General features: G+C 55.7%; 1 protein-coding gene across 6 annotated transcripts in view, besides 8 other annotated features; it reads right to left on the bottom strand.

The window, feature by feature from the left end:
• RAI1 (retinoic acid induced 1) overlaps nucleotides 1–26,720 on the bottom strand; it is a 129,996-nt gene that overhangs the window by 61,236 nt on the left and 42,040 nt on the right. For 3 of the 6 annotated variants that reach the window (XM_047435151.1, XM_047435152.1, NM_030665.4), the window contains one exon: nucleotides 26,059–26,190. The exons of 1 other annotated variant lie outside the window; for it this stretch is intronic. The gene's annotated coding sequence lies outside the window, so the exon portion shown is untranslated. Of the gene's footprint in view, nucleotides 1–26,058; nucleotides 26,688–26,720 lie in introns of those variants that run through there. 2 more of the 6 variants (XM_017024027.2, XM_047435149.1) reach the window with 2 other exon arrangements.
• Nucleotides 6,656–7,157: an enhancer, noted in NCBI's record as "H3K4me1 hESC enhancer chr17:17646375-17646876 (GRCh37/hg19 assembly coordinates)". NCBI's record gives its function as "activates a minimal SCP1, AML or CMV promoter by ChIP-STARR-seq in naive H9 embryonic stem cells {active_cell/tissue: H9 hESC(naive)}" and the evidence as "EXISTENCE:reporter gene assay evidence [ECO:0000049][PMID:30033119]".
• Nucleotides 9,620–10,251: an enhancer, noted in NCBI's record as "H3K4me1 hESC enhancer chr17:17643281-17643912 (GRCh37/hg19 assembly coordinates)". NCBI's record gives its function as "activates a minimal SCP1, AML or CMV promoter by ChIP-STARR-seq in naive H9 embryonic stem cells {active_cell/tissue: H9 hESC(naive)}" and the evidence as "EXISTENCE:reporter gene assay evidence [ECO:0000049][PMID:30033119]".
• Nucleotides 15,254–15,493: an enhancer, noted in NCBI's record as "active region_11807". NCBI's record gives its function as "activates an Ori minimal core promoter by ATAC-STARR-seq in GM12878 lymphoblastoid cells {active_cell/tissue: GM12878}" and the evidence as "EXISTENCE:reporter gene assay evidence [ECO:0000049][PMID:35858748]".
• Nucleotides 20,267–20,326: a silencer, noted in NCBI's record as "silent region_8251". NCBI's record gives its function as "represses an Ori minimal core promoter by ATAC-STARR-seq in GM12878 lymphoblastoid cells {active_cell/tissue: GM12878}" and the evidence as "EXISTENCE:reporter gene assay evidence [ECO:0000049][PMID:35858748]".
• Nucleotides 20,267–20,563: a biological region, named in NCBI's record as "Sharpr-MPRA regulatory region 1571".
• Nucleotides 20,269–20,563: a silencer, noted in NCBI's record as "tiled region #1571; HepG2 Repressive non-DNase unmatched - State 25:Art". NCBI's record gives its function as "represses a minimal TATA promoter and a strong SV40 promoter by Sharpr-MPRA in HepG2 cells {active_cell/tissue: HepG2}" and the evidence as "EXISTENCE:reporter gene assay evidence [ECO:0000049][PMID:27701403]".
• Nucleotides 20,356–20,554: a silencer, noted in NCBI's record as "fragment chr17:17632978-17633176 (GRCh37/hg19 assembly coordinates)". NCBI's record gives its function as "represses an EF-1alpha promoter that drives an FKBP-Casp9 reporter gene in an ReSE screen in K562 erythroleukemia cells {active_cell/tissue: K562}" and the evidence as "EXISTENCE:reporter gene assay evidence [ECO:0000049][PMID:32094911]".
• Nucleotides 24,325–25,206: an enhancer, noted in NCBI's record as "H3K4me1 hESC enhancer chr17:17628326-17629207 (GRCh37/hg19 assembly coordinates)". NCBI's record gives its function as "activates a minimal SCP1, AML or CMV promoter by ChIP-STARR-seq in naive H9 embryonic stem cells {active_cell/tissue: H9 hESC(naive)}" and the evidence as "EXISTENCE:reporter gene assay evidence [ECO:0000049][PMID:30033119]".

The raw sequence follows: 26,720 nt of genomic DNA, 5'->3' as shown, positions 1-26,720 counted from the left end.
GAGTCACGAAAACCTGTTCTCCGTCCTTGGAGCCACAGCTGGACTACATTTCCCAGCCTTCCTTGCAGCTGGGCATGGTCACATGACTGTGCTCCAGCCAATGGAATGTGAATGCAAGTGATATCTCCTTCCAGGGTGGACCCTCCACACTAAGCCAGCTTGATGCAGACCATGCCCCGGCCACATTGCCATGTGGAGGAAACCTCCACCCACCAGAAATACTCACCATCCTCCGGAAATACAAACCTCCATCTAGAAATGCTAGGTTGGTTTGTTGCTGCAGCTGATCTTACCCTAACTAGTACAGGCATGTGCTTATCCATTCACTCATTTGCTCATTCAATAAATACTTAATGAGGCCCTAGTGGAGCTACATGCCCTATGCTGGGTGCTGGGGATACAGAGGGGAGCAACAGAAGGTAGGGGAACTCCCCACTTTCATGGAGCTTACAGTATGGCAAGAAGGACCAACCTTAGTAAATAAACCAGGGCAGGAAGGCTTCTCTGAGATGAGATCTATGAGAGAGAAGGAGGAGAGAGAGTTCCAGGCAAGAAAGACCAGCAGAGGCAAAGATCCTGAGGCCTGAAGGAGCATGGTCCACTTCCTGGTACCAAGAGGGGGGGAAGATGAAGCGAAAGTGAGCCATCTCCATCACATCCCCTCTCTGAATTTCAGTTTCCTCATATTTAAATTGTGGCCATGCTAATAGCCTCTCAAAGGGCATCTCTGAATCTCAGAGGAGAAAATAGCACACTCGAAGTGCTCCTGGATGCTCATTCATTCCTTGATGTTACCAAGAGTGGGCAGAAAGACCTCCGCCTGATGCCTAGGCAGTGCGTGGAGGATGCCGGCTAGGAGGTGAGCAGAGCTGTCTCTGGGGCTCAGGAGGCAGGAGCAGGGAGGGAGAGTTGCTGCTATTAAGGCTCCTGCCACGCAGGCTAAATATCAAGAGTCGTCTCCAGCCGGGAGAGCTATTAGGCGGCAGCGGAAGCACTGGCTCTCTGGGGAGGCGGGCAGGACTGTCCCTGGAGGCAGCTCAGGCGAGCTGGTGCTAAGAGCGGGAACTCTCTGCTGACGGGCAGATGCTGGCCGCCATTCAGCCTCTTTCTGGACGGGGATGGTTGTGAAGGGTATTGCAGGATTCGTGGGGAGATCCAGGAGGCCCCCAGGGGCTGATGTGTTGTTGTGCATTTCCCTGATGCTCCATGCCAGCCCTGCTGCTGTCTCCTGAGGTCAGAAGCAGGAACAGATGCAGCAGTTCTTTGAGGTGTGCCTGCCACCAGGTGCCAAAAAGGGCACAGGCAGGGAGGGGGGTGCAGCTAGAGGAGGTCCCATTAGGGGCTGAAGCCCCCAGTGATTTGTAGCGGGACCACATCACTCCCTTGACTCACATACCTGTCATGGCCCCTGAGGTCCCTGCCGCCAGCTTTCAGGCTCGCCTCTGCTCACTCCAGTGCTACCAAGCCCTGCAGCCCTCCACACCACAGTGCCCCACCGACATACGCGTGCGTACACTGTTTCTTCTGCCAGGTATGCCAGCCTCGGCTCCCATCCTCCTACACCTTTTCTATCATCATTTAAGAACCTATTGGAGTTCTAATCATGGCTAAGCCAGTTGTCCAAGCAACCTCCCCTCTCTGATCCTTAGCTTACTCACTGCTAACATACGGAAGCTATTTCCTATCTCACAGGGTTGTTGGTACAAATTAAACATGACGATGTATGTGAAAAGCACCTAATAGCATGTGGCATGAAGTAGTTATTTAAAAAGTGGAAACAAGAAAACCCCTACAAAAACCACCCAATCAACCTTCTCGGAGCAGCACCTCCTTCAGGAAGTCTTCCCTAATCACACCCTGGCTGTCCCCTTCTCCATGCATTTGAGTTTAAGTGCCTTTTTACTGGGCCCTCAGCTCCCTGGATGGCCCCTGGCATGGCACTACCTGGGACAACAATGACTTATTTGGGCATCTGCCCCATCTCCAACAGCCTGTAAAGACTTTGAGGGCAGGGACATTCCTGGTGGGTGCCAGGCCACACAGTCAGTGTTAGATGAATGAGTAAAGAAGATTGGGTGTCCTCATTCTTTGCCTGCCACCATGTAAGACATGCCTTTCGCCTTCCGCCATGACTCTGGGGCCACCCTAGCCAGGTAGAACTGGTCTTGCTCTGTCGCCCAGGCTGGAGTGCAGTCGCACGATCACAGCTCACTGTAGCCTCGACCTCCCAGGCTCAAGTGATCTTCCAGCCTTAGCCTCCAAGTAGCTGGGACCACAGGCACACTCCACCATGCTCAGCTAATTTTTTAAATTTTTTGTAGAGATGGGGTCTCACTGTGTTGCCCAGGATGGTCTCAAACTCCTGGGCTCAAAGATCCTCCTGCTTCTACCTCCCAAAGCACTGGGATTATAGACATGCACCACTGTGCCCAGCCAGACTGGCCCTTTTGAGATATCTTTTCAAGTTTTTTGCATGTCTGACAATTGATGGCTCCACCTGGACCTACCAAGCACTCCTGTGGCCTCCATCTAGAAGCGACTAAGCACAAGAGGGCAGCTCCAACCCAATCAGTCGGCACTCCCCATACTCTAGGCCCCTGCCACCAAACTATCTTTGAAAAAGCCCCTAACCTCAGAGTGTGGCCGGCCTCGTGTCAAATGCCCCTGGAACCCTAGAATTCGTTCTCAGCCCAGGATGGGCTGCCAGGACAGCCCTATGTCGGTTGCCCTCACCTCAAGCTCTGCCCAGTGGTCCTGACCTCAGCCCAGGCTTCAGTCTCCTTCCCAGGCTGCCACTAATTGCAGCCTCCAGCAACAGGGACTGGCCCACCCCATCTTCCACATCCTCTGACAGGCCACTAGTCAGCCAGTGGCTAAGTGCCAAGCAGCCAGCCTGAGCTCAGGGCTGGCTGGAGAAGGGGTTATAAAACATCCCAGGCAGCCCCAGGGGTTTGGGGAGGTGACGTGTGGGGGTCTGTGAGCTGTCTCCATTTCTTCTAGAAACCTCAGGGGTACTGTGCATTTACCCCAAATGAGGCTCCACTGACACAAATCTACCAGTGCCCCTGATCTGGGTGGGAAGGCTGTCAGCTTGAGGCCCCGCTGGTTCTCTCCCCAACTCAAAGCTCAGATAGGCAGTTATGGATGTCTTTGATTAATAAGAAATGGGGGCGATGAATTAATCATTATGTAATAAATGCAGTTTGTTTGGCAGCCGTATCTTTCAAAAACATGGCTCTAGTGTGTGTGTGAAATAATGAAGGAGTCCTCAGAAAACACATGGGGCTGGGCGTGGTGGCTCATGCCTGTAATCCCAGCACTTTGGGAGGCCGAGGCAGGCGGATCACCCAAGGTCGGGAGTTCAAGACCAGCCTGACCAACATGGAGAAACCCCTTCTCTACTAAAAATACAAAATTAGCCGGGCGTGGTGGTGCATGCCTGTAATCCCAGCTACTTGGGAGGCTGAGGCAGGAGAATTGCTTGAACCTGGGAGGCGGAGGTTGTGGTGAGCCGAGATAGCACCATTGCACTCCAGCCTGGGCAACAAAAGCGAAACTCCATCTCAAAAAAAAAAAAAAAAAAGAAAAGAAAAGAAAAAAAAAGAAAACACATATGGTGCTCTGGGACAGGCGATGGCTTTTGCCCCAGCAGCCCCCATCCTTGGGGGAGGCAGTGACCGAGGCTTCTTAAGGGGATGGCAGGAGCTCCTGAACTCCCAGTTTAGGGAGGGACAGAGAACGGTGGTAGCTCCTCTTAAACCCCTTAGGGCAGGGGCTCTGGGCTCAGCCCAGGTTCTCTACCTCCTGCCCAGAGCCAGACCGACCCAGTCCGCTGCCTGCCTCGCTCTGAAAGAGGACTGAACAGATGTTTCCTTCAATCAGGAAAATAACGTTGGCTCCCAGATGGGCTGCGGCACGGAAGCGCATCCTCTCCCTGCCTCCCTTTGTGACAAGGTCTTTCATTCTGGGGAGCAGCTGAGCATCGGAGATGGCGAGTGGGGGCACGGTGGCACCCCCGGGGGCATCTGCCGGGCTTGGCTATCACCCGTGTCCCTGGAGAAGGAATCCTGAAGCACAAAGGCCCCGCCGGCTGCCGTTTCCAGTGCTCGGGGCTGACAGGTGCTGGTGGAGGATCTGCTGGCCAAGAAAGGGGCAATGGTGGCCTGGTAGGCAGGGGCTGAGCCCAGAGGGATGCCTCCCAATGCATGCCAACTCCACAACGCTCATGTGGGAACAACGCACCCAGTCCCTGTCCCCGGCCATGGTATGGCTCGGCTCCCCACTCATGCCCAATCATGGCCCAGGGCAGCACCCACCTCGCAGGGCCCAAGCCTGCCCCTCTCCTCCGGCCACATCCTCACGGCTTCCTCCACCCGCTGGCCACCGTCCCTGCCTGGCCTGGACTCCACACAAGCCCCCCGGGTACACCCTGCTCACCCTTCTGTAAGCTCTGCTGGAGAAAGAGTTTTTAAAAACACATGCTGGACCAGCTCACTTACCTCCCTGCTTAAAAGCCTTCAGGGCTGGGTGTGGTTGGTCATGCCTATAATCCAGCACTCTGGGAGGCCAAGGCGGGTGGATCACCTGAGGTCAGGAGTTTGAGACCAGCCTGGCCAACATGGTGAAACCCTGTCTTTACCAAAAAATACAAAAATAGCCAGGCGTGGTGGCACGTGCCTGTAATCCCAGCTACTCAGGAGGCTGAGGTTGCGGTGAGCCGAGATCGTGCCACTGCACTCCAGCCTGGGCAACAGACCCTGTCTCAAAAAAAACAAAAACAAAAACAAACACACACACACACACACACACACAAAAGCCTTCAATGGCTCCCTGACTTAGAGAATAAAACAGAAACTCCATGGCCTGGCATCCAAGATCCAGAACCCCTTGGTGGCTCCCTACAGTGGGTTGATCATGGCCATCCCACAGGGACTCCAAAGTCAGCACATCCCAAATACCTCCCTTTCCTTAGAATATGCTCTTCCAAGCTTTTCCCTCTCCTTTCTTCTACCTAAAAACTTGTGATCTCTGTGGAGTCCCAGTTCACACTCCATGTCCCTTCAAGGTTCCCCGATCCCCATTCCCTGTCCTGCCAACCCACAGTTAGTTCCCTCCTTTGTGGACCCTCTTCCATCATCACTTTACAGGCCCACTCCCCATGGAGGGGTCATTTATCAGCTTAGGGGTCAGTCTCCCCACCAGGACTGTGAGAGCCCCTAACAGCAGGGCTCAAGGTCTGAAATCCTCGGGGTTCAGCACACAGTAGGTACACAGTAAAGATTTAATTGTGTATGTAAATGCCCACAAACAGAGTCAAAGACTCAGATTACACTAGTAAAAGTAAAGACCTCTAGGGAAGCCTAGACAGGAACTCTGACCTGTTTATGTGCCTCTACAGTTTTCCTTTTTTTTTTTTTTTTTTTTTTTTGAGACGGAGTCTCAACCTGTCACCCAGGCTGGAGTGCAGTGGCACAATCTCGGCTCACTGCAACCTCCACCTCCTGCGTTCAAGAGATTCTCCTGCCTCAGCCTCCTGAGTAGCTGGGATTACAGGTGCGCACCATCACGCCCGGCTAATTTTTGTATTTTTAGTAAGACAGGGTTTCACCATGTTGGTCAGGCTGGTCTCGAACTCCTGACCTCGTGATCTGTCCGCCTCGGCCTCCCAAAGTGCTGGAATTACAGGCGTGAGCCACCCACCGTGCCCGGCCTTCCCTTCTTTATTTACAACCATTTCCTTTCTTTTGGAATTAAAAAATGATTTTGAATGAAAACCACGCCAAGGCTGCCCCTGACAAACTGCCTGCTATTTCTGTGAACCAGTTCTGTGTGGGGCCTTGCCTTTCTGGCTACTGACCCTCATGGCCACCCTGAGGGTACAGAAATGGCTGGACCCACTTTACAGAACAGCAGACTGAGGCTCTTAGCAGGGAAGGGCCACCCAGGGCAGATGGGCTGGTGTTTGAACCCTAGGGGAACCCGAACCCCATGCTACCCCCTGGCCTCCCCCAGGCAAGCTGGGAATTAATGACGAAGAGGGGTGATACTGGCAATCCCACAGGGAGTCCTAGGTGGACAAGTCCCAAATCTGTTCCTCCTCAGGCGTCCCCGTATGCACCAGTGCCACCATTCACACAGTCACTCAGGTCTGTAGGCAAAGCCTCTTAAATACTGTGTGGCCAGAACTGTGCAAAAAAATGCAATGACTGTCTCACAGCCCAAACCAGAATCGGGCAGACAGAGCTCCTGCTGGTCTCCCCTCCATTCCCTTTTAGCTCCCCTCCCTGCCCTGAGCCTGCCCGCTCTCCTACGGCCCAGCCAGGGGCTGCAGAGTGGATCCGGGCTCCATGCAGCCTAAAAGATGTCCTTGGCCCTCCTATGCCTCATGCCAGTTCCTGATCCTGGAAGGGATCCATGGCAGCCAAGAGGCTAGTAACAATTCAGATTCCCAGGCCACCTCTAAGGATTGAGATTAAGTCAGGTCCTAGGACGGGAGCCGTGCATGTGCCCAACCAGCCAAATCCTGGGCTGCTCCTACATTTGCCAGCTGAGCTTCAGAGACCTGGTGCCTGCCCATTGGGGTCAGGAGGCAGCCCCAGAGAAACCACGTGTGTGGGGTCTGCTGCGCACATGTCCTGGAGTTTCCAGTGGCATACACCAGTCTGAAGGAGGCTGGATACCAGCAGTGATGGGCTGCTGCGGGCAGGGGCAGCGACTGGGCTCCTGGACGCTGCCACTCAGGGGCCTCCACACCCCTCTGGAACCGTGTGTTCCTGCGCCCTGGGGGCCTGGCATATAGTATGGCACAAGCAATGCTTAGGATGTGGAACCAAGCATAGCACTGGGTACAGATTCCTCCCAAATCACAAAGGCTACCATTTATCAAGTGCCTACCCATGGTGAGTGTTCTGCCTTCAGGATCTTGTTTAAAACTGGGGCTGGGGTGTGAGCCCATTGGGAGGCACTCTGGGAGGCCAAGGCAAGAGGATCACATGAACCCAGGAGTTGGAGACCAGCCTGGGCAACATAGTGAGATCCCACCTCTACCAAAAAATTAAAAATTAGCCGGGTATGTTGGCATGTGACTGTAAGTCCCAACTACTCGGGAGGCTAAGGTGGAAGGATGGTTTGAGCCTGGGAGGTTGAGGCTATGGTGAGCTGTGATCATGTCACTGCACTCCAGCCTGGGCTGCAGAGGGAGACCCTGTCTCAAAAATCAATAAATCAGGGACTGGAATGAAGGGAGTTGTAATAGCAAAAATGTTTTCCTACATTCACCCCACAGAGACTTACATAAATACCTGGCTCCTGTTCCCAGGTTGGAGAGCAGGAAGGGACACTCTGCAGCCCAGGGAGGTCTGAACCACATCCAGATCTCACTGGGGACAGGGATGGCCGAGGGGCCCCATAGGGTTGTAGAACAGTGCGTGTGCAAGGACCCCCAAACCAGATAAGAAATGCAGGGGATTCCCAGAGCCTGGAGGAAGGTCTAAAGGACCTTCTAAGGGTGCCCACCCTTGGCTCTGGGGGACTCAGGTGTGGGACAGCATGGACATGAACTTGCGACTTCACACACTTCTCTCTCTCTCTCTCTTTTAAAACGAGTGCATATTATTTGTTAAAAGCAGAGGGGATATTATTTTTGGCAAAGTTTCCAGTGAATTCAGTGCCAGAGCTTAGGGAGAGTGGGGTTGGTTGGAGGTTAGTCCTTCCAGATAGATAGTTTCAGACTCTGGAGAACATTCATTCCTTTATTCATTCATTCATTCACTCGTTCATTCATTCATTCATTCATTCATTCAAACCAAGATCTGACCCTCTGAGCAACTTGCCTGCTACCTCAGGCCTCGGCAGTAAGAATTCCTTCATTCATTCCACAAATATTCATTAAGTGTCTATTGTGAGTCTTGGGAGCCTCTGCCAGCCCTGTCTGTGGTGAGCCTGGAACCATGATCAGAGGCTGGGCTGGGAGTGGACAGGCCAGGGTGGGGCAAGCAGGGCAAAGCCATGTGGCACTGCCTGGCATCTGCTGTGGGCCCTGACGTCCCTGCCCCTTGACTCCTGAATATCATCACCCGTGGCCACAGAAGCCCACCTCCCACCCCAGAGCCGGCAGGCACCCAAGACGGGAATTATGGTCTCCACAAGAGACACTGACATGAAGCTGGTTACTGCCTTTTCAGCAAACGTAATTCCTTTTTATTAGAAAATTAAAGGGTAGGACCAGCTTGCCAAAAGCCAAAAGAGCTGAAATGTGCTTTCCTAAGATATGCAGCGTCTGATAAAACGGATTTACCCATCTCCCTCCTGTTCTATCGTCATCTCCCTCACCCAGTCTCTCCTCCATTCATTCCCCTTCCACTGGCACCGAAGCAACGGCCGTGAGCTTGGCCCTGGCCGACAGGCCCAGCACCCTGGATGTGGGGAGTGTGCTTTTGTTTCCTTCATGCTGAGCCCCACTCCCGGGCTTTAAGCCTTTTTAGAACCACCTCGGGGATTCTCTTGCTTTCCTGAGACGCAAAGGCTGCCTGTGGCCTCTGCTAAGCTGAGGGTGTCAGGAGGGGAAAGGCAGGAACAATAAAGGATTGAGCTCCCGGAGAAACAAGCTCATCCATCTGGAGACCCAGGAGCAGGCAGTTCCAGACAGAGCCAGCTGAGGGAGGCGGCCAGGGCAGAGAGCCGAGGACGAGTCCCGCACTGCCACACAAAAAGCAACTATTCAAAACCACCCAGGGAGTTCTCTCTTATTGAAAAGTCCTTGATTCTTCCCTTTCTGTGGCAGAACTCATGAACAAGGGCCCCGTCTTATTAATGGGGTGATGGAGGGGCCCGGGAGGGAGGGTCCCCCTGCTCAGGAAGGTGGCCGAGCCCGCCCTGCGAGTCATTAGGAGCTGGTAACTAAGGTAACTCCAGAATCGGATTTTCTTCCCACTAATCTCTCTTTTTCTCTTTTCCTTTCTCTCTCTTTTTTTCTCTGCTGGTCAGATGCTACCTTCCTGGTTTAGAGGGGACTCAGGAGGGTGGTGGGGAGAGACGGAAAGAAAGGCGTGCGTGTACGTGTGCGCTTAAGTGTGTGAGTGTGAGCGTGCGTGTGTGCGTGCGCGAGTGTGTGTGTGTGTGTGTGTGCGCGCGCGCTTGTGCTGAATACTAACATGGTCACCACACTCCGGATGCTCTGACGGCGGGCGGGGGTGGTGTCTCGGCTCAGGTATGTGTGCCCCTGCCCTCTCCCCACACTGCCTCACCCACCCCTCCCACCCGCCCACGGCCTCCCTGTTCAAGGGCAAAGCCATTCCCTCACTCCCTCCTTGAGTAACAAAAGACAAGATTGAGTTTCCTTTCACCTGCTCTGAGGAAGTATCTGCTTTGGCAGGTCTAGCACAGCCTGCTTTGTTCTGGCGAAAACCAAAACGGGATCTGTCCTGGGGCTTGCCGGGGTGGGCAACAGGATGCAGGTCAATACAAAAATCAATATGAAAAATAGCATTGTCCCCCAGGCTCCTGCTGCCTGGACCTCCCTCCCTGAAAGCTGAAGTCCAGGGAGGTGCAGCCAAGTCAGCTTTGCTCTGAGAAGACAGGTTCAAACCCCAGCCAGGCCACCTGATGGCCACGTGGCCTGGGGCAAATTCATTCACTCTCTGAGCTGATTTTCTTGCCCTACACAGCAACCTTAGAGAAGTGCCTGTACCTATTCGAAGCCCCCAGCACGGCATCAGGCCTCTTTCCCACCTGGTCCTCTTTAGGGCTCAGAGCAGATGAACCACTTCCACCAGGGTGGGTGGGGAGCAAAGAAGAGATGGGTGACCCCCAACTCTCCAGAGGTGGCTGTGTTAGGGTTCCAGTCTTGCAGGTAGTGTTTCTGAGGAAGAGGAACACCACCAGCCCCTGGGACCTAAGGGTTCTCTGGATGACAGAGGAGGAGCTAGGGACCCCTGGCCAGGGTCCTCCCCAAAGGGGGCCTGGACCACCAGCACAGCTTGGGGCAGGCAGGACCCCTAGAGGCTGCACAGCTCCTTTCCCCCTGAGCACAGAGAAGCCCAAGGGTCTCCCAAGGCCCTAGCTGGGCACTAAGCCCAGAGTCCCAGGCACAGGGCTTACCCCATGCGGGTGAACACCCCCTTCAATGGATGCTGATGTCTGATCCCCAGCTATCCCCACTTTGGAAGGGCTCAGCCTGGCCTGTGATTCCCTCAGGGTGGGGCTGCAGCATCTGGAGGCTTCCATCCCCACTCCCAGTGGGGAGAGGGAGCTGCCACGCGGTGAGTCATGTTAGCTCAGCGGCTGTATGTGCTTGGGGGAAGGGCCGAGCACCGCTGCCCTCCATCTGGGCCCAAGGTGACAAGGTCAGCCCCCGTGGCCCACTGGCCAGCTGGACTGGTGCCTGGGACCCACCCCAGGTGGCCTCCGGGTAGTTCCCACTGCTCCAGGACCACTCTCACCACCCCGCACCACCACCAACACAGGGAGACTGAGCCTGCTCAGAGTGGAGTGGTGGCATAAGACCTCAAAATCCCCAAGGAGTGGAGGTAGGGATGGGGTCTGTGGGGCAGCCAGAGGTCAGGGGAAGCAGGCAGGTGCTGGAATGTGTGGTGGGGATGCGGTGTCTGGAGCTGAGACAGAGCAAAGCTTTCTTAGCTCTGGAAGGCAGGAGGGGCCACAGCCTCAGTAAGCAGCAGGCATCCCAGGCCTTACGGCCAAAGGCTCCCTGACCCCTGGCTGCCAGATTCTCTCTCTGTATCCTTATCCCTCCCCATCTCTCCCTGCTCTGCCCTCTTCTTTCTCTCCCTCCTGGTCAGGGCTGCTAAGCAAATGGACTGCAAATGGGATTCTGCGTTTTCATTTGCACCCACCTTCGCTTCCCCAGCTCCTGGGGGCTGGCTTGTCCCATCCTGTCCAGCCATCTCTGTCTTCCCCTCCTTGGAGGGCAGCCATAGCCACACCTCCACCAAGAATAGGCTGTGAGCTTCTAGATGCCAGGGGTCAGGTGAGCTAGTCAGGGCCTTGCAGAGCTTGGCTCCTATCTCCACGGTTTTCAAGAGAGCCTTTACTGGGCACGTGGCTGCCCCAGTGTGTGAGCAATATGCACGGAGGAGGCGGCCTCACTCCCGTTCTTCACTTTGAATTGCCTCTGTCTCCCTTGTCATACAACTTGTCTTCCCCAGGGGTGGAGGAGGCCTTGGGCAGGCTGTTCCCACTGACAGAAATTTCCTGGTTGCCAGGAAAACACACCTCAGAAATAACACTGATGACAGCTGCTGCCCTTCCCCAGGATACTACGGGCAGCGTGCTGGGCTGTCTGGGTAAGGCTGGGGCCCGTGTACTTATAAAAACAGGGAGGACAGCCCATGCTTGCAGCATGAGCCCTTTGAAGGTAATGCAGGCCTGAAAACTCCCACCAAGCCAACCCATTCCCCAGATGGAGAAGACTGACACCCAGAAGGGCCCACAAGTAGACTCTCTGGCCCTCTGCAGCCCATCAGGGTCCAGTGAGTACAGCAGCTTCCTGTGTGGTGCCTGGGTTGCCTGAGCTCAGACACACACAGCTGCAAGCTGGCAGTTGCTACGTTTACCCCAGCACCTCAGAGCCACCTTGAGAAGCTCACGGAGGGGTGGACCCCAGGCTCATTTCAAGCCCATGGCTTCTCCCAGTTTCCTGCTGGTCCCTGGAGTCCTCTGCCCCCGCCTTCACCCGCAGACAGGCCAGGCCCAAGGCCGTGTAGGGCAGCAGGGACCACCCAGGTGGCGGAGGCTCCTCCCAGCCTGACCGCAGCAGCCGGGAAAACAGGCTCCTCAGCTGCACCCTCCTGCCCACCCCACCCCGCCCCGCCAGGCCAGCCGCCTCACCCAGCCCTGAACCAGGAACTGGGCCTGCCGCCAGCCAGCCCGCCCCACTCACACCATAGCCCCTCACCCACCCCAGCCCACCCCTCAGTGCCCGCCAGATGTGGGAGGAGGCAGCAGTCTCCTGGTACTCACTCCCTCATGCTACCTTAGCCTAGATCAACCCCCTCACCTTCCTCTGTCAGGAGTCAGAGGGAGAGGCCCAACCTTCCCATGGCAGCTGCCATACTGGCCTGAGCCATACTCAGGCCATACTGAGTGCTCAGGCCATACTATGCCATACTGGCCCCCTTGACCCTGCCTCCTTGACCAGCAGCCGTCCACCTCATGCCCACCCACCAGCATGTGAAGCCACCTGCCCCCCTGGGATGGCACTGCCTCCCTCCTTCTGGGGCCAGGGTGGGGGGCGCCCCCTCCCCCCACCAGGGGCAGGGTCTCTGTGCCTGCCTTACACTTCTGAGGCTGGATCACTGAGGCTGAAATTTCAATTAAGGAAGAGAAATAATTACTCTGGGGCTCCAGGCCTGCTCAAGTGGTGACAGGCCTCAATATCTGCTTCTCTGGAGTAGGCGGAGGTGGCTGGGGCCCCCCGCCCTGAAATCAGGCTGAGCCCGAGAAGGGCCCTGGACCCTTGCCCATGTTCAGCCTTGTAGCCCCCCTCCATCTGTCTGCTGCAATAAGGCCACCCTCAGGTATCCCCATGGTAGGGGGATATGGGGCGGGGGACTGGAGGAAAGGTACAGGCTTCTGGCAGAGGGGGCTGGGGAGCAAGCCTCAGCTGGCTTGACAAAATTGAATTAAATTAAATTTAACCATTCAGTCACTGCCTATCCCTGTGGTGAGCCTAGAGGCTGCCAGGACCCCACCAGAAGCAGGTAGGGACCCCAAGAGTAAGACTGGGCAGCTCTGGCCTCCCTCTGGTAGTATTCCAGCACAGGCCAGGGTTTTGGGCCAGGGGGTGGCAAAGGCTGCATTCTGGAAAGGTTCCTCAGAAGCCCACTCTGCAGCTCAGCAGGAGTGAGTCTGGGCAAGACCCTCCCTCGGGCCATGTGCAAAACAAGGACCACAGGTGGGGTCTCTGGGCCCCTGAGACCCTCCCCTATTGCCTCCTCAAGTGGCCTTGAAACAGCCAGGCTGAGCTATGACCCCCTCATCTTCAGAAAACTCCTTCCCTAGAAATGTCCCATCCTCAATCCAAAAAATGTCCCTTCTCTGAGAATGACCTGTTTCTTCCCCAGAAATGCTTCATTTTAACCCAGAAATTCCCCAGCTCCAAAATGTTCCATTTCCAGAAATGCTCCATCTTATCTCCAGAAATATTCCCCGTCATCTTCAAATGTAATCCATCTCCAGAAATGCCAGTGGTCTACTGAGGCTCCACCCTAACTCCAAGAATGTTCCACTTCCAGAAATGCCATATCCCATCTCCAGAGATGTTGCATTTCAGCTCCAAAAATACCTCATCTTCAGAAGTGCCCTATTTTATTTCCAGAAATACTCCAGCATCATCTTCAAAAACACACCACTTCCAGAAGTATTCTAGTTTCTCTCTAGAAAGAATCCATTTCCAGAAATGTTCCATCTCTAGCAATGCTCAGAATCCAGAAAAGCCTCATCTTTACTCCTCAAAAATGCCCTCTCCCATCTCCAGAAATGTTCTCATTTCATCTTCAGAAATGCCCCTCCTCCAGAAATGCTTTTCATCTCTTCTCTAGAAACGTCCTCATCCTGTCTCCAGAAACACCATGTCTCATTTCTAAAAACATTCCATTTCTGGAAATGTTCCAGCTCCTATCTGGAAGTGTGCATGCCATCTCCAGAAAGGTCTCTCCATCTGGTCCAGATGCTGCAGAAACACAAAGACCCACTTCCTTCTACATCTCCTACAGAGAAGCTAAGCAGTGACTGGGCCTCCTCCCCGCCTGTTCCTCTGTTCCTTGGGACCTCTCGGCCATCTGCTGGGCCTGCTCTTATCCCAGAGCAAGGACAAAGTCAAGAGCAGTGCTGGCAGGTGCCAAGGTCTCTGGGAGGGAGAGCATGAATGGTCAGAGTTTGGGATGACTGAGAGCCTCCCAGGTCTGACCTGGGGGCAGGGGCCATGAGAGGAGCCTGGGGTGGGAAGGAATGAACCAGGACAGAGGCGGTGGGGGTCTCAGCACAGTTCCCTCCAGACACGTTCTAGCCACAAACACCTCCACTGGCCCAAGTGCACATACTCACAGTTCACAGTCAATACCCACACAGCCCAGAAATGTCCCCCCATCCTCCAGGGCCATGCGCAATGCACACTCACAACATGGATATCCACACTCAACCCTTGAAGCCCCACCCGCACAAGTACACACACCATACACAGATGCACACACATAACACAGATACACAAACAAGTCCACTGTCACACATCACACACCACACACACAATCACAGTCCCCTATATTCCTCAGGCCTTTTGTGGGCCAAGTTCAGGGGACACCTAGGGGCAGAAGCCCTGTCAGTCCCTCCAACCAGGCTGGGTTGGCAAAATAGGGCCACCTCAGAACTGCCGCCAGGAGATACACAGCCCTAGGCACTTTGCGCTTAGAAGGGACCACAAAAGAGAGGAAGGCACAGGTTGGGCATCTGCTTGCACACCTACCCACCTAAGATGGGGCACTCACTACCTCCTGGAGCAGCCCAGGCCACTTCTAAATCACTTCTGAATGAGAGGAAGTGCATCTTTGGGCTGGGCACGGTGGCTCACGCCTGTATTCCCAGCACTTTGGGAGGCTGAGGCAGGTGGATCACTTGAGGTCAGGAGTTTGAGACCAGCCTGACCAACATGGTGAAACCCCGACTCTACTAAAAATACAAAAAAAATCAGCCGGGCGTGGTGGCGCACGCCTGTAGTCCCAGCTACTTGGGTGGCTGAGGCAGGAGAATCACTTGAACCCGGGAGGCGGAGATTGCAGTGAGCCAAGATCGCGCCACTGCACTCCAGCCTGGGTAACAAGAGTGAAACCCCGTCTCAAAAAAAAAAAAAAAAAGGCTGGGCATTGTGGCTCACATCTGTAATCCTAGGACTTTGGGAGGCCGAGGCGGGTGGATCACCTGAGGACAGGAGTTCAAGACCAGCCTGACCAACATGGTGAAACCCCATCTCTACCAAAAATACAAAATATTAGCTGGGCGTGGTGGTGGGAGCCTGTAATCCCAGCTACTTGGGAGGCTGAGGCAGGACAATTGCTTGAACCCGGGAGGCAGAGGTTGCAGTGAGCTGAGATCATGCCATTGCACTCCAGCTTAGGCAACAGAGCAAGACTCCGTCTCGAAAAAAAAAAAAAGTAAGTTTCTATTTGGATGAAACTGAAACCTTTCTATGTCACCTCTGTCCACACAAGCAAGTCCTGCTCTCTGGAGGTGCAAAGCCCATGTCCTGTTGAGATTTCAAACAGATTCTCTCCTCCCTGCCCCATGTCAGGTGGGAAAGGAGAGAGAGATGGCTGTTCTTGGGGAATGGGGCCTGGAAATAGCTTTGTGGAGGGCGAGCTGGTGTCGCGAGCTGGTGTCAGAACACACAGATACGCACACACTTAGATGTACAAACATGCAAGCACAGATATGTGCCCCTGTGTGTGTCCAAGGAGCTCACACGCAGACACACAGGCAGGCATGTAATACACCTACACGCTCTGACCCGCACATAGGAAAGCAGGTGTGGGCCCACTGGTCTGCACCAGGTCCGTCCCTGACACCTCTGCAGTGGAAGTTCTTGGAGCCTTCAGGTGGGTGGGAGGGAAAAGGGGCTCTGTCTCCATGACCCCCATTCCCAGCGGCCTTGGTTAGCCCTGGTCTGCTCCCACGGGAGGATAAGTACCATTTGTTAGGCCTCCCAATTTAGAATCAGCCACAATTAACTGGAACCTCCTTAACATCCCCCCAACTTTTTATTTTTTTGAGACAAGGTCTCGCTCTTTCACCCAGGCTGGAGTGCAGTGGTACAATCTTGGCTCATGGCAGCCTTGACCTCCCGGGCTCAGGTGTTCCTCCCACCTCAGCTTCTGGAGTAGCTGGGACCACAGGCACCCACCACCATGCCTGGCTAAATTAAAAAAAAAAAATTGTAGAGAGAGGGTCTCGCTATGCCAAGCCCCCTTTTGGTCGTTGGGGGCTAAAGGCAGGCGTGAACAGCACTTGAACATGCCCTTCAGTTTGCCTTCTATGTGGACCCCTTTGTCTGATACCCCCCAACTAGCCAGTGCTTGACTAGAAACAAGGCTTCAACGTCTGCCTCAGGCATCCTCCTCAATCTCTCCCCCTGTCCTGGATGCTCATTTTCTCTCTGCCTAGACCTCCCTCCTCTAGGAACCAAGATCCTCACCCAAAAACGTGAGAAAAATAAACCAAGCAGTGGAAGACGAATCAGAACGTACACGTGGTCCCAGGGCCCAAGATGGCCAGACCTTTGCATTGGGTGGTGAGGGGGCCCCGGGTCTCCCAGCCCCCAGGAGCAGCCAGGCCTTCTGCAGAGGCTTCTGCATTGGTATTCTCTGTCCCTCACAGCCCAAATTACACTGGCTCTCCTGGGACCCTTTTATCGCACGTTGTCACTTCAGCAAAAGGTTATGTACGAGAACATGGAAATCCCTCCTGCATATTAACTAAAGGAGCATTTAAAAAATGTGCCAGAGAAAGAAGCCCACCTAAGAGCCAATTTTTCCAGTGTCTTAGAGAGAACGAGCACTGGACTGGGAGTCAGGAGTCGGAATTCTTGTCAGGGTCCTGCCCTTACTGGGACCTGGGGCGTGCCATGTCACTTCCCTGAGATCCAGTGTTCTCATCTGCTGAAAATGAGAATAAAAGCACCCACAATGGTGCTCTATCAGGGATGCTGTGAGGGTCATCTGAATGCCTGGAATGAATGAATCATCTTATAGAACAAGCAGAATCTGATTGGTGTTAGTATTCAGGCATTGCCAACCAAGTACTTAACAGGCAAGGAGAACATGGTATTATTCCCCAAGCATTCTGCATCCTTTCACACCTCCTTATCTTTCCCCACGCAGTGCCCCGCATCTGGTGCACCCTTTCTTTTTCTTTCTGGCCTGGAGAATTCTCAGAAAACACTAAGACCCAGTTTGGAATCAGTTTCTCAGTTTTGACATTTACTAGATGAGCTTCAAAGATAGAATCTGCCTCGGATCAGGGAAAGCCAGGATGCCAGGGCAGGAACCCAGGTCTAAGCAGGGTGGCAAGCTCCAGAGTGCCAGGGCCCAGCTGGCACATGAGTGGGAACTGCAGGGAACCAGGTGACTCAGAAGGTGGCAGTCCCATGGTAGCTCTGCCGATAGTGCCCTGTGGGTGTGTGGCCCTGCAATGCCGACCTGATTTTTTTTTTCAGGGAAGCAAAATGTAGAATTTTTATGTGAAATCCAATGTTATTTTTAAAAGCCTGGGCTGGCCAAACAGCGCCCACCTGGGGGCATTGCCAGAGGACAACCTCTGGCCTATGTGCTCAAGCCCTGGCCTCTCTGTGGAAGAGATGGCAGAGGAGGTGGTAGGCTCTGCACAGGGCATGGGAAAGTGAGGGTCTTCCAGGCAGGGCCAAGGAGACAGGCAGGAGCAACAAGCTGGGCAGCAGGACTGCACGAAGCAGGTTTAACTGGTGAGGAGAAGGCTGACCGCCAGGCAGCAGTAGCCTCTGGGCCTTGGTGTGCTCTTCTGTCAAATAGGGATGATAATAGAGCCCAGCTCCGGCAGGTGATGAAAGGAGTGTGCCAGGAGCTCCTGGCATGAGAACAGGCTCAGTTGGGACCTGTAGGATTAATGAGGGAGGAAGAGATTCTTAAAGAAGCCTGCAAACCCCAGGAGAACACAAGCCCTTTATAGAGGAGATGCCCAAGGAAGGACGTCACCTGCCTGGCATCACACAACAGGTGACTAAGTGAATGGCAGATCCAGTCACCACAGTGTGACCCCTGATCCCATCCCCCTCTCCCAGACAGAAGGCCACAAACATGGGGAATGTCCTGAGGGGTCTTCCCTGCTCCAACCTGTTCCTGCTTCAGGCCTGTGGCCTGCCCAGGACTCTGCCATCAGACAGCCTCTCTCTGAGTTAAGCAGTGCCTTCTTCTCAGTAAGGAGGCCAACGCTCCCAACACAGCCCAGGGTTTAGCCGCAGGCTCACTTCTTACCAGCCATGGGCCTTGAACCACAGTTGCCAGACCTTTCCAAGCCTCAGTTTCTTCATCTGTAAAATGGGGATGGCAGGAACCTTTCATTGGCAAGGAGGGTCTGAAGACTGGAAACAGCAAAGTGCCCAGGGCTGGGCACCTAGGAGGCCTCACCGAGAGGAAGCTCTGAACACGATGGTTCCAGGTATCATTCTTATTCCCCCCACCACCACCTCCCCCAGCAATCCTCCTCCAGCCTGTGCCAAGGCTCTGGGCACTGTTCCTCCCTCTCTGTGCTGAGCTTTCTTTCAGGGAATTATAATCTGCTGAGCTTTAATTATCAGTCCCCCAGGACCATCACCTACTTCTCAGCCGAGACTGAACAGTCCCTCCCAGTGCTCAGCTCACAGGGGATGCAGGGCTAGGCCGAGCTGCTCTGGGCTTAGGCAAGAGGTTGGGGAGATGGTCAGGTCCCTGCTTCCCTCTAGACCAGCATTCTAGGCCTGCACAGCAGCTCCAGGAGGAGGGAGGCTGCTCTCATCCAGCCCACACCCCAGAGGACTCAGGAGTTCTCAGGGAGGAAACTGAGGCCCCACCTGGGTCCTCTTCTGATCCTCTTAAGCCTCTCCTCATTGTCCCTGTGTGTTCCCACTGCCGAGACTTTGCTCCAGCGGTGCTCACTGCCCAGAGCACCCATCTTTTCCCACTGCCTTCAAGATAAAACCCTTCAAGCAGTCAAGGCCCAGACTCCTTTTTGGCCTCAGTCCCTGCCTCCACCTCCCCAATCCCACCTGCTCGCCACCCACACCCCCAGGCCTCTGGCATGCTGTGTCCTGCAGCCAACACCCTTCCTTCTGCAGCAAAATGCTTCCCCTTGGAGACCCAGCCCCTGTCCCTTTGGGTGCCTTCGCCAGGGCATCTGGGCCAGAACCTTGGCGCCATCAGCAGACACTGTGGAAGGACTGAAGGGAATGAAACACAGCCTGTAAACGAGGCATGAATCAGATGTGCAGGACAGGCCTGGCCGCCAGGCACCCCAAGTGCAGGGTCAGGCTGACCCGGTTCAGGCTGGTCCCGACACCCTATGTGTGTGGCCCCTCTGCTCCCACGTCCTCACCTCTAGGAGGGCTACCAAGGGCTGGGTGGGTATGAGAAGCATACCAGGCTGGCACCATGCCTGATGCTCTGGCAGTTCCCAGCTCCTGCAGAGCCTGCCTCCTTGGGCATCGCCTGCCCTGCTTCCTAGAAAGGGCTCTCTCTCGGCCACTCAGGGACTCTAGCCCAAGGTCCCAGGCTGCGAGTGGGCCCGAAGTAAGGCCCCTGTGGCTGGGACACCCACAGAAGAGTGACACCGGCAAAGCTTCTCTGCCTCTCCGCCCCGTGCCACACTTGGAAAGGCCTCCTCCAGCCTACCCTCCTGGGCCAACAAAGTCTCATCTTGTGCCTCGGTCCCCCAGTCTGGTGACAGCACCTCATATGACACCTCAGCCCTGGCAGGGCCTCACTGGCCTAGACTTGGGCAGGGGAGCTCCCCTCTGGGAGCCCCAGCTTTGCCGTCCCTGCCCCACTTGTATTGCAGGATGGTCACAGTGATCACTGGGCAGCAGCATTGAAGCCAGGAGGCTGCACTAGTGGCCCCAGGTCTAAATCTGGTCGTAGGGGTGCTGCTGAATTAGGTGACAACATATACAGACCAGGAAGTGTCATGTCAACATCTAATCCTGTTCCTGAGACAGTGGGCAACAGGCGCCATGGGCTGCATCCCCATGGGCTGCCCTGGCAGAGCTGAGCTACCGCGCCCCATGAGGGCCAGGCAGCCACCACAACCCCATCAGCACTGCCTGCCCGGCCCTGCGGGGCCTAGGGGTGGGTGGCCTCTGCATTATGCAAACATGAGTTCATCTTCTGATCACTCCTCCAAGTAACAGTTTGCATTTTAATCAGGGCCTTCCATGCTCTGACCTCGGCAGTGACTAACGGAAGCATTTCAGGCCCTGGGAAGGGCAGGAAGGGGATATTTAGGAGGAAGGCAGATACCAACATCACAAAAACTGTTCTCCTGAAAGGTGGCATCTTGCAGGGATGACCCAGCGCAGGCAGGGTCTCTCTGCCTGCTTCAGTGCAAAGGGCTTTTTGTGGAATGAGTGAACATCTGCCTGCCTCTCTCCCAGTTCTGCCTTGGGGAACAGGTGGATGCTGACTTCCTGTTCTGCCCGCCCCTCTGATGCCTCGTGATACTGTTTCTGGCTCCTGCTAAGATGTGGGACCAGGTTCAGCAAATCTCACTAGGACCTACCCCAGCAGAAACATCTCTCCCTTCTCCCACTCTACCTTTGCTAACATAGCCTCAGGTGGGTCCAGTGAGCATCTTTGCCCCCTAGAGGCTCATGCTGAGATGACAGTCACCTGAGCCCCAGACTGTCTCCTAGAAAGCACTGAAATGTGACAGTGTGTGTCCCTCCCCAGAAGCCAGCAAACCCAAGGCCTGTGGCAACACACAAGTGCCCTGAACGGATGGACAGTTGCACAAATGCACAAATGGGCCTCTGTGTGCGTTCCAGGGCTGCCAGGCACTTGAACAAACTTGACCTGGTTTTCCTTACTCTCTTGTCAGTCCTCTCCGGAAAAAGCTATCATCCCCATTATACAAAGGGGAAACTGAGGCTCAGAGAAGCAGAAAAAGCCCCCACTCGTGGCCAGCGATCTCACTTGCTTCTGGGTGTGGCCAAGCCACAGTGGGTCTCCTCCTCTCGGAGAAGCTGGGCTCAGGGAACACAGAGGTGGCACATGGGTGGATGGGAGTGGGCAGAGGTATGGCAGCAGGCAGGTCCCACAAATGCTGAGATCTGCCACGCTTGTGAACCCCGCAACACCTGATGCTGGGGTGGAGGTGGAGGGTCGTCTGGTTTATTGTTACCACTACTCTTTTCTACCACCGTAGTCCTTACAAGGCTTACAGCAGACAGATAACCAGGCAAGGCCCAGCGTGACCAGGCCCAGACTCCTTCCAGAAAAGACATGGCACAGGTACCCAGCAGTGTGGATACAGTGTCTTGAGCCTCACGGGGCACCTGTGGCTGGTCTGCTGTGGAACCATGAGCCAGTGTTGGGGAGGAGCAAGGTGGGGCGAGGCAGGCCTTGCCCAGGTTGGCAAAGGTGACCTGAGTCAGCCCAAGGCTGCTCCAGGCTAGTGAGTCACCCAGCTCCCCACGTGAATGGACATCACAGCCGCCCAGCCCTGTGCTGCTCGGACCTCAGCAAGGAACCACCTCAGGGGCGCCATGGAGAAGTTCTTGTCATGGTAGGCCCCAGCCTCCCAGGGGTCCTGCAGAGGTAGGGGCTCATGGTGGGAATCTGGGGGCAGCTAGGAGCTATGAAGGGCATCTGGGCCTCGGGGTCAGAGGACTGGGTCCAATCTGGGGCTCCCAACTCCTGGCTGCATGACCTCAAGCATGTCACTTCTCTGTAAAACTGGAACCACAAGCGCTGACTTGCAGGATCTGTGCAAACAACAAGCTCAGTGCCTGGCATATGAGTGGAGATCCATGGGGCTGGGTGGCTGCCACCCACTCCTGGGATCTCAGAGACCACCACTGGAAGACAGTCCCTAAAATTCAAAGGAGAAGCTCCAATCAGACTTGGGCACGTGCCCCTCAACACCTTCCCACTTGACTCCCCCAGCCTGTGCTCCCCTCCGTGGGCTGTGGCTCCACCTGGCTATGCCCTGCCATTGGACCCTACCCCATTTTGCATCCTCTGCTCTCAGCCTCTTCCTCTCCCTGGCTGGGGGATGTGAGCAGGAATGGCTCAATCAGGATATAATCGTTTTTAATTAACGTGCGGATCATTTCACAGCCTGATCTCCTTGGAGACCAGAGGGAAGACGGTCTTTTAAGATTTTCTTTTGCCTCCCTCAACCCCACCCCTCCCTGTCGAAGGCCTTCCCTCTCTTCGCCCACCCAGCCACAACCTTGAAGCAGCACAAAAGCCTGATGCCTGGATCCCTCCTGGGGCCATTAGGAGGAAACAGTGTGCTCACACACAGACATGCACACATGCATGCACGCGCACACACAAGACCGAGCTCGGGGGCACCCTCCCTTCCCCCCAGAAATGCACAAATGGGATCAGAGACTGACACCACAGAGGGGACACACACAGGGACGGACACACACACACACAGAGGCACGCATGCACAACACATGCCCAAGCTGGAAGGCACACAAACCCCTTAAGCAATACACAAGCAGGATCAGAGGCACACGGATGGTTGGTGTGCTGCAGGGGAGGGGGCAGAAAGTCCCTGTCCTCTGATGGGGAATACTGTCTCTGCTTCAACTCTTTCTTCCCTCTCTCTCTCCTTCCCTTCTCCCCGGGGGGTCTCCTGGGGTGAATCTCGGGCCAGAGAGAGATTTTAAGGTGCACCCCATCCCCCACACCACTCCTTCATACCTCATATCTGTGCCAACATCTGCCTCTGCTCCTGAACAGATCCAAGGTTAGGTCTCTGACAAGTAAACTGAGGCATGGGGCAAGGACGCAACCACTAGGGTCCCCAGAGACCTACAGTCCCACCCCCTCACTGCATCTGCTTTGGATCCTCAGCTTTTTGTCTGGAGAATGGGATGGCAAAGAGGAAGGGGAACTGTGGTGGGCAGGTGGGGCGGGCAACAGGGAGCCTGTAGCCGCCAGATCCCGTGAACACACCCAGTCGGGGGTGGCCCAGGAGGGCCGAGAAGCCTGTCTGGGGCTCCAGCTGGCGGCACCAGGGGTAAGCTTGGGGTCTCAGTCCCCCCATCTGTGAAATGGGCAGGGTCAGCCTTAAAGACCTCAGGAATCTTTTCAGATGCGAAAACCAACATGGCAAATCAGTAGCTGGGTCTTCGCTGCTGCATAGCCCAGCAACTGCTGTGTGACCTTGGGACTCGCTTCCCCTCTCTGGGCTCTGGCTTCCTCTTCTGTCAAAGGAGGGAGGTCAGATAGGTGATTCATTGCCAAGGCTCTTTTCGGCTCTGATGGAAGGTTCTAGATTGTGGGGAAGGAAAAATAGTGTCCCATTTATCCAAGGAAAACTAGAGAAGCCGTTTCTCCCACTGCAGGCAGTCGGAGCCTTCGGCATCAGCAGTGGCATTTTGAGCAAATCATTTTAAGTATCAAGAAAAGCTATACAAAATATATCCACTACATCATTCATCAGGAACATCCAGAATGTTGGACAAAAGGGGAATATTAAGTAAATTATGGTACATCCACTTGATTGGAAAAGCCTGAAGACATTAACCATGGTGTTTATGAAGCATTGGTTACAAAACAGGAAAAGGCTCACATTATGCCGGCAAAGCAAGCAGGATATACATCTGAATATAGAGAATGACGACAAAGTCTTTAAAAAACAAACCAACCACCGAGTCGAAAAGGACTGGGAAGAACTACATCAAAATACTAACATTGTCAGAGCCCTCTAAGACTGTCAATAACCTTATTTTTCTCTTTTTTTTTCAGCTTTTCTGTGAATGCTATTTTACAATATATATTTCAAAAAGGTTTAAAAAAAACCACAAGGGCTAGATGCTTCCAATTGAGAAACTTTCCCTTTTCATTCATTCACCACTGATTCATTCACTCCATTTAGCTGGACAAATACAGGACACTGTGAGTGACTGCTGTGTGCTAGGCCCTGGGGGCCCTAAGGAAGATAGGAAGAAAAAGGTTCTTGAAAACGGAAACTCGAGGTCTGGGGAAGGGAAGGCAGCCCCATAAATAAGGGGGTTGTGCCATAGGGCATGAGCAGCAGTGAATCCCTTGCTGGTTTCAGTCCTGCCTCCCAGAGCCTCACCCAGGCCTCCCTCAGCCACTAGGGTCTCATGGTCCAACCTATGGGTCAGACACCCACATTTAATGGCCAGGCCTGCAGCTGAGTGGGTGTGTGGGAAGGGTGGGGAGCAGGGCAAAGCCTTGCTCAGGAGTCTGGGCAAAGGGTAGAAGGGCCTCTCCCTTCCCTCTACCCCAGACCCATGGCGACTTCCCTTCCAGTTTCCGATGGCCCTGGCTTGTAACCCCTCTTCCCTCCGGGCCACAAGGCCACTGCTTTGCTGCCTGACCCTCTCTGGGCTCTCATTTCCGCCTCCCACAAGGTCCCTGAACAAGGCACCACCCAGCCGAGTCCTGTTGGGCTTTGAAGGGGGAGTCCAGGGTCTAGAATCTGCTAGCTCCAGTCAGCCGGTGTCACACTGTTAGCATGTCAGAGGGTCCAACAATGTTTCCCTGCTGTGTGGGGGCTGACAAATTTCTGGGGGAGGGTTAACTCTTTCTATTCCTGGACCAAGAGACAGAACAGCCTGAACACAGTCTAGCCGCCCCCCTCCCTCTCAAAAGGTGCCTCCCCTCTCCCCCAGGAATTCTCTTTTTAAGTAGGGAGAGGAATTGCCTTCACCTGCCTGGGTTGCCAGCTTGGTGTCTCTGGACCTGGCTCTCTACCCCAGGAAGAAAAAGGGGAGGGGGCACCTTGATAGCCTGGCTGCTTGCCTGGGAATCCAATTAAGGCTGATTTCCACGGGCTCTCCACCCCCGCAACGCCAGTCCAGCTAGCCCTTCGCTCTTCCACCTCTCCCCTTCCTCTGCATCCCCCGATGGAGCAAAATAATCTGGGGGCTTCTGCGTGCCGGGAAGCCTCTGACCCGGTGGTCCCCCCTTGGATTGAGTCCCCGCCTCAGAACTGCGGTCCCCAGAAATTTTCTGGGCTAGCATTCCCTTCCCATGGCCTCAATGGGAAAGGAGAAGTTCCCACCACTCTCCTCCCCCTTCATCCTCCTCTCCTCCCGGCCCTGAGGGAGGGGTCGAGGCGTCCGGATCTCCGGGTCACCGGAGCAGCGTCTGCTGAGGATCGCAGGAGACAAACACTTCGTCACACAAGCACAGCACCCTCGGGATCACCTCTTTCAGCCCGCATTGTACCAGAGGGGAGGAGGCTGAGGTTGGAGGGGCCCTCGACGTGCCTGAAGTCACCAGCCAATCACCAAGCCCAAGAGGGGCTGCCATCCACGACCCCCGGCCGCGAACCCAAGCCTGCCGCCTTCGCCGCGCCCACCCCCCAGCCCCCTCCCTGCCCCGGCGCCATCCCAGGTCGACGTCTCTAACCAAAACAAGCCCCTCCCCCAGGAGCCCCCTCCCCCTGCCCGAGGCCCAGGGTCAGCAGCCCCAGGAGGGACCTCCTCCCCACCCCACTCCCCCCGGCAGAGGTGCGAGATTTCATTGTCAGCCTGGCCACTCGACCGCGCGTGAGACTGGGGCGCAGGGCAGGGGGGCCACTGGGCAGGCTCTCGTGCGGGGAGTGGGGAGGGGTCTCCAGGGGAAGTGTTTGAAGCCACTCCTGCAGCTCTGTCCAGATCCGGAAGCCGCCGAGGAAGGGAGGAAGGCGGGGGTGGGGAGAGCGCGACCTTAAGCGCTGGCGGGCGGCGAGGAGGGGCCGCAGCGGCCCGAGGAAGCGCCTGGAGGCGTCAGGGGCGCCGAGTCCCCAGGGAGGCCGCGCTCTCGGGAAGTTTCCCATCGGTTGCCCGGAGCAGGATCGGACGCGCGGATCGCCCTCCCCGGTCCGACCAGCTTCGGGGCGCAGATTGCGAACTTGAACAGAACTCCTTCCTTCTCTGGCATCTCTCGCCTCCCCATCCGTGGCCACCAGCCCCGCCATCTCAGCCCCATGCCTTCCGCCAATACCACATTCGTCAAGACCGCTCACCAATGCTTTGTGGAGGAAAGGGGAGGGGGGAATCCCCAGCACAACCAAACTGTGGCCAAAAGCGGCCAAAAAAAAAAAAAAAAAAAGGAAAGAAAGAAATTCCTTCTTCTGAGACCGATTCCCTCAACCAGCGTGGAAAACCCCCAAACATGCAAATCCGCAACTCCAGCCAAGATCCTGGCGCCGCGGGAGGGGTGTCCGCGGCGGGCGGCGACCCCAGCCTGCAGCCCCGGACTCCGGGCAGGTCTGCGCGCGGCGGCGGGCCGGGGGCTCGGGGAGCCCTGGCGCCCACAGCAGCCCGCCGAAAACACAAAGCTCCGCCGCCAACAATACCTGCGGGCTCCTCCTGGGTCTCCCGGGCGCCGGCGCTGCGCGTCTCGCCGTCTCCCTTTCCCCCGCCGTCTCTCTCCTCTCGCGCACGCTCTCCCTCTCGCCTCTTCCAGAACGCGGTGGCCAGATGAGATCCTTGGGAGAAACAAATGTGAGCGCTCGCACGAATCCTTTCTCTCGCCAGCCGCTTGCAACGGCCCCAGGCTCGCTCCTTTCCCTCGCGCTCCCGCGCGCGCCGCGCCTCTCGCGCCCCGCGTTTCCTTCTTAGCAGCCCCTGCGAGCGCCCTCAGTAGCCATTATTCACAGGCCGCCGGGGGTCAGGAGGTAATTAGAGACGGCCCCGTGGCCGCATCCACTCGGTAAGCGCGATGCTGGCGCGGGGCGCGCGCGGGGAGGGGCGCGCGATGAGGGGGCTTGGCTGCGCGCAGCCCGCGCCCCAGACTCGGGGGAAGGGAGGAGGAGGAGGGGGCAGGGAAGGAGGAGGCGGGCGGGGGGGCGAGAGATGAGCTCGGGAAGGGAGCGGGAGGAGGGGGCGCCGGGGAGACGCTCCCTTGGCTCTCACCGCGGGGCCTCGGGGTCACCCGCTGCGAGGCTCCGACGCGCTTAGGGACGGGGGGTGTGAGTGTAAGAGTGCGCGCGCGCGCAGGCGTGTGTATGTCAAAGAT

Source organism: Homo sapiens, chromosome 17 (assembly GCF_000001405.40).
Source record: "Homo sapiens chromosome 17, GRCh38.p14 Primary Assembly".
In the NCBI taxonomy this organism is placed as follows: Eukaryota; Metazoa; Chordata; class Mammalia; order Primates; family Hominidae; genus Homo; species Homo sapiens.
Note: the sequence above shows the minus strand (reverse complement) of the source record. Positions and strands in the feature narration are given on the sequence as shown.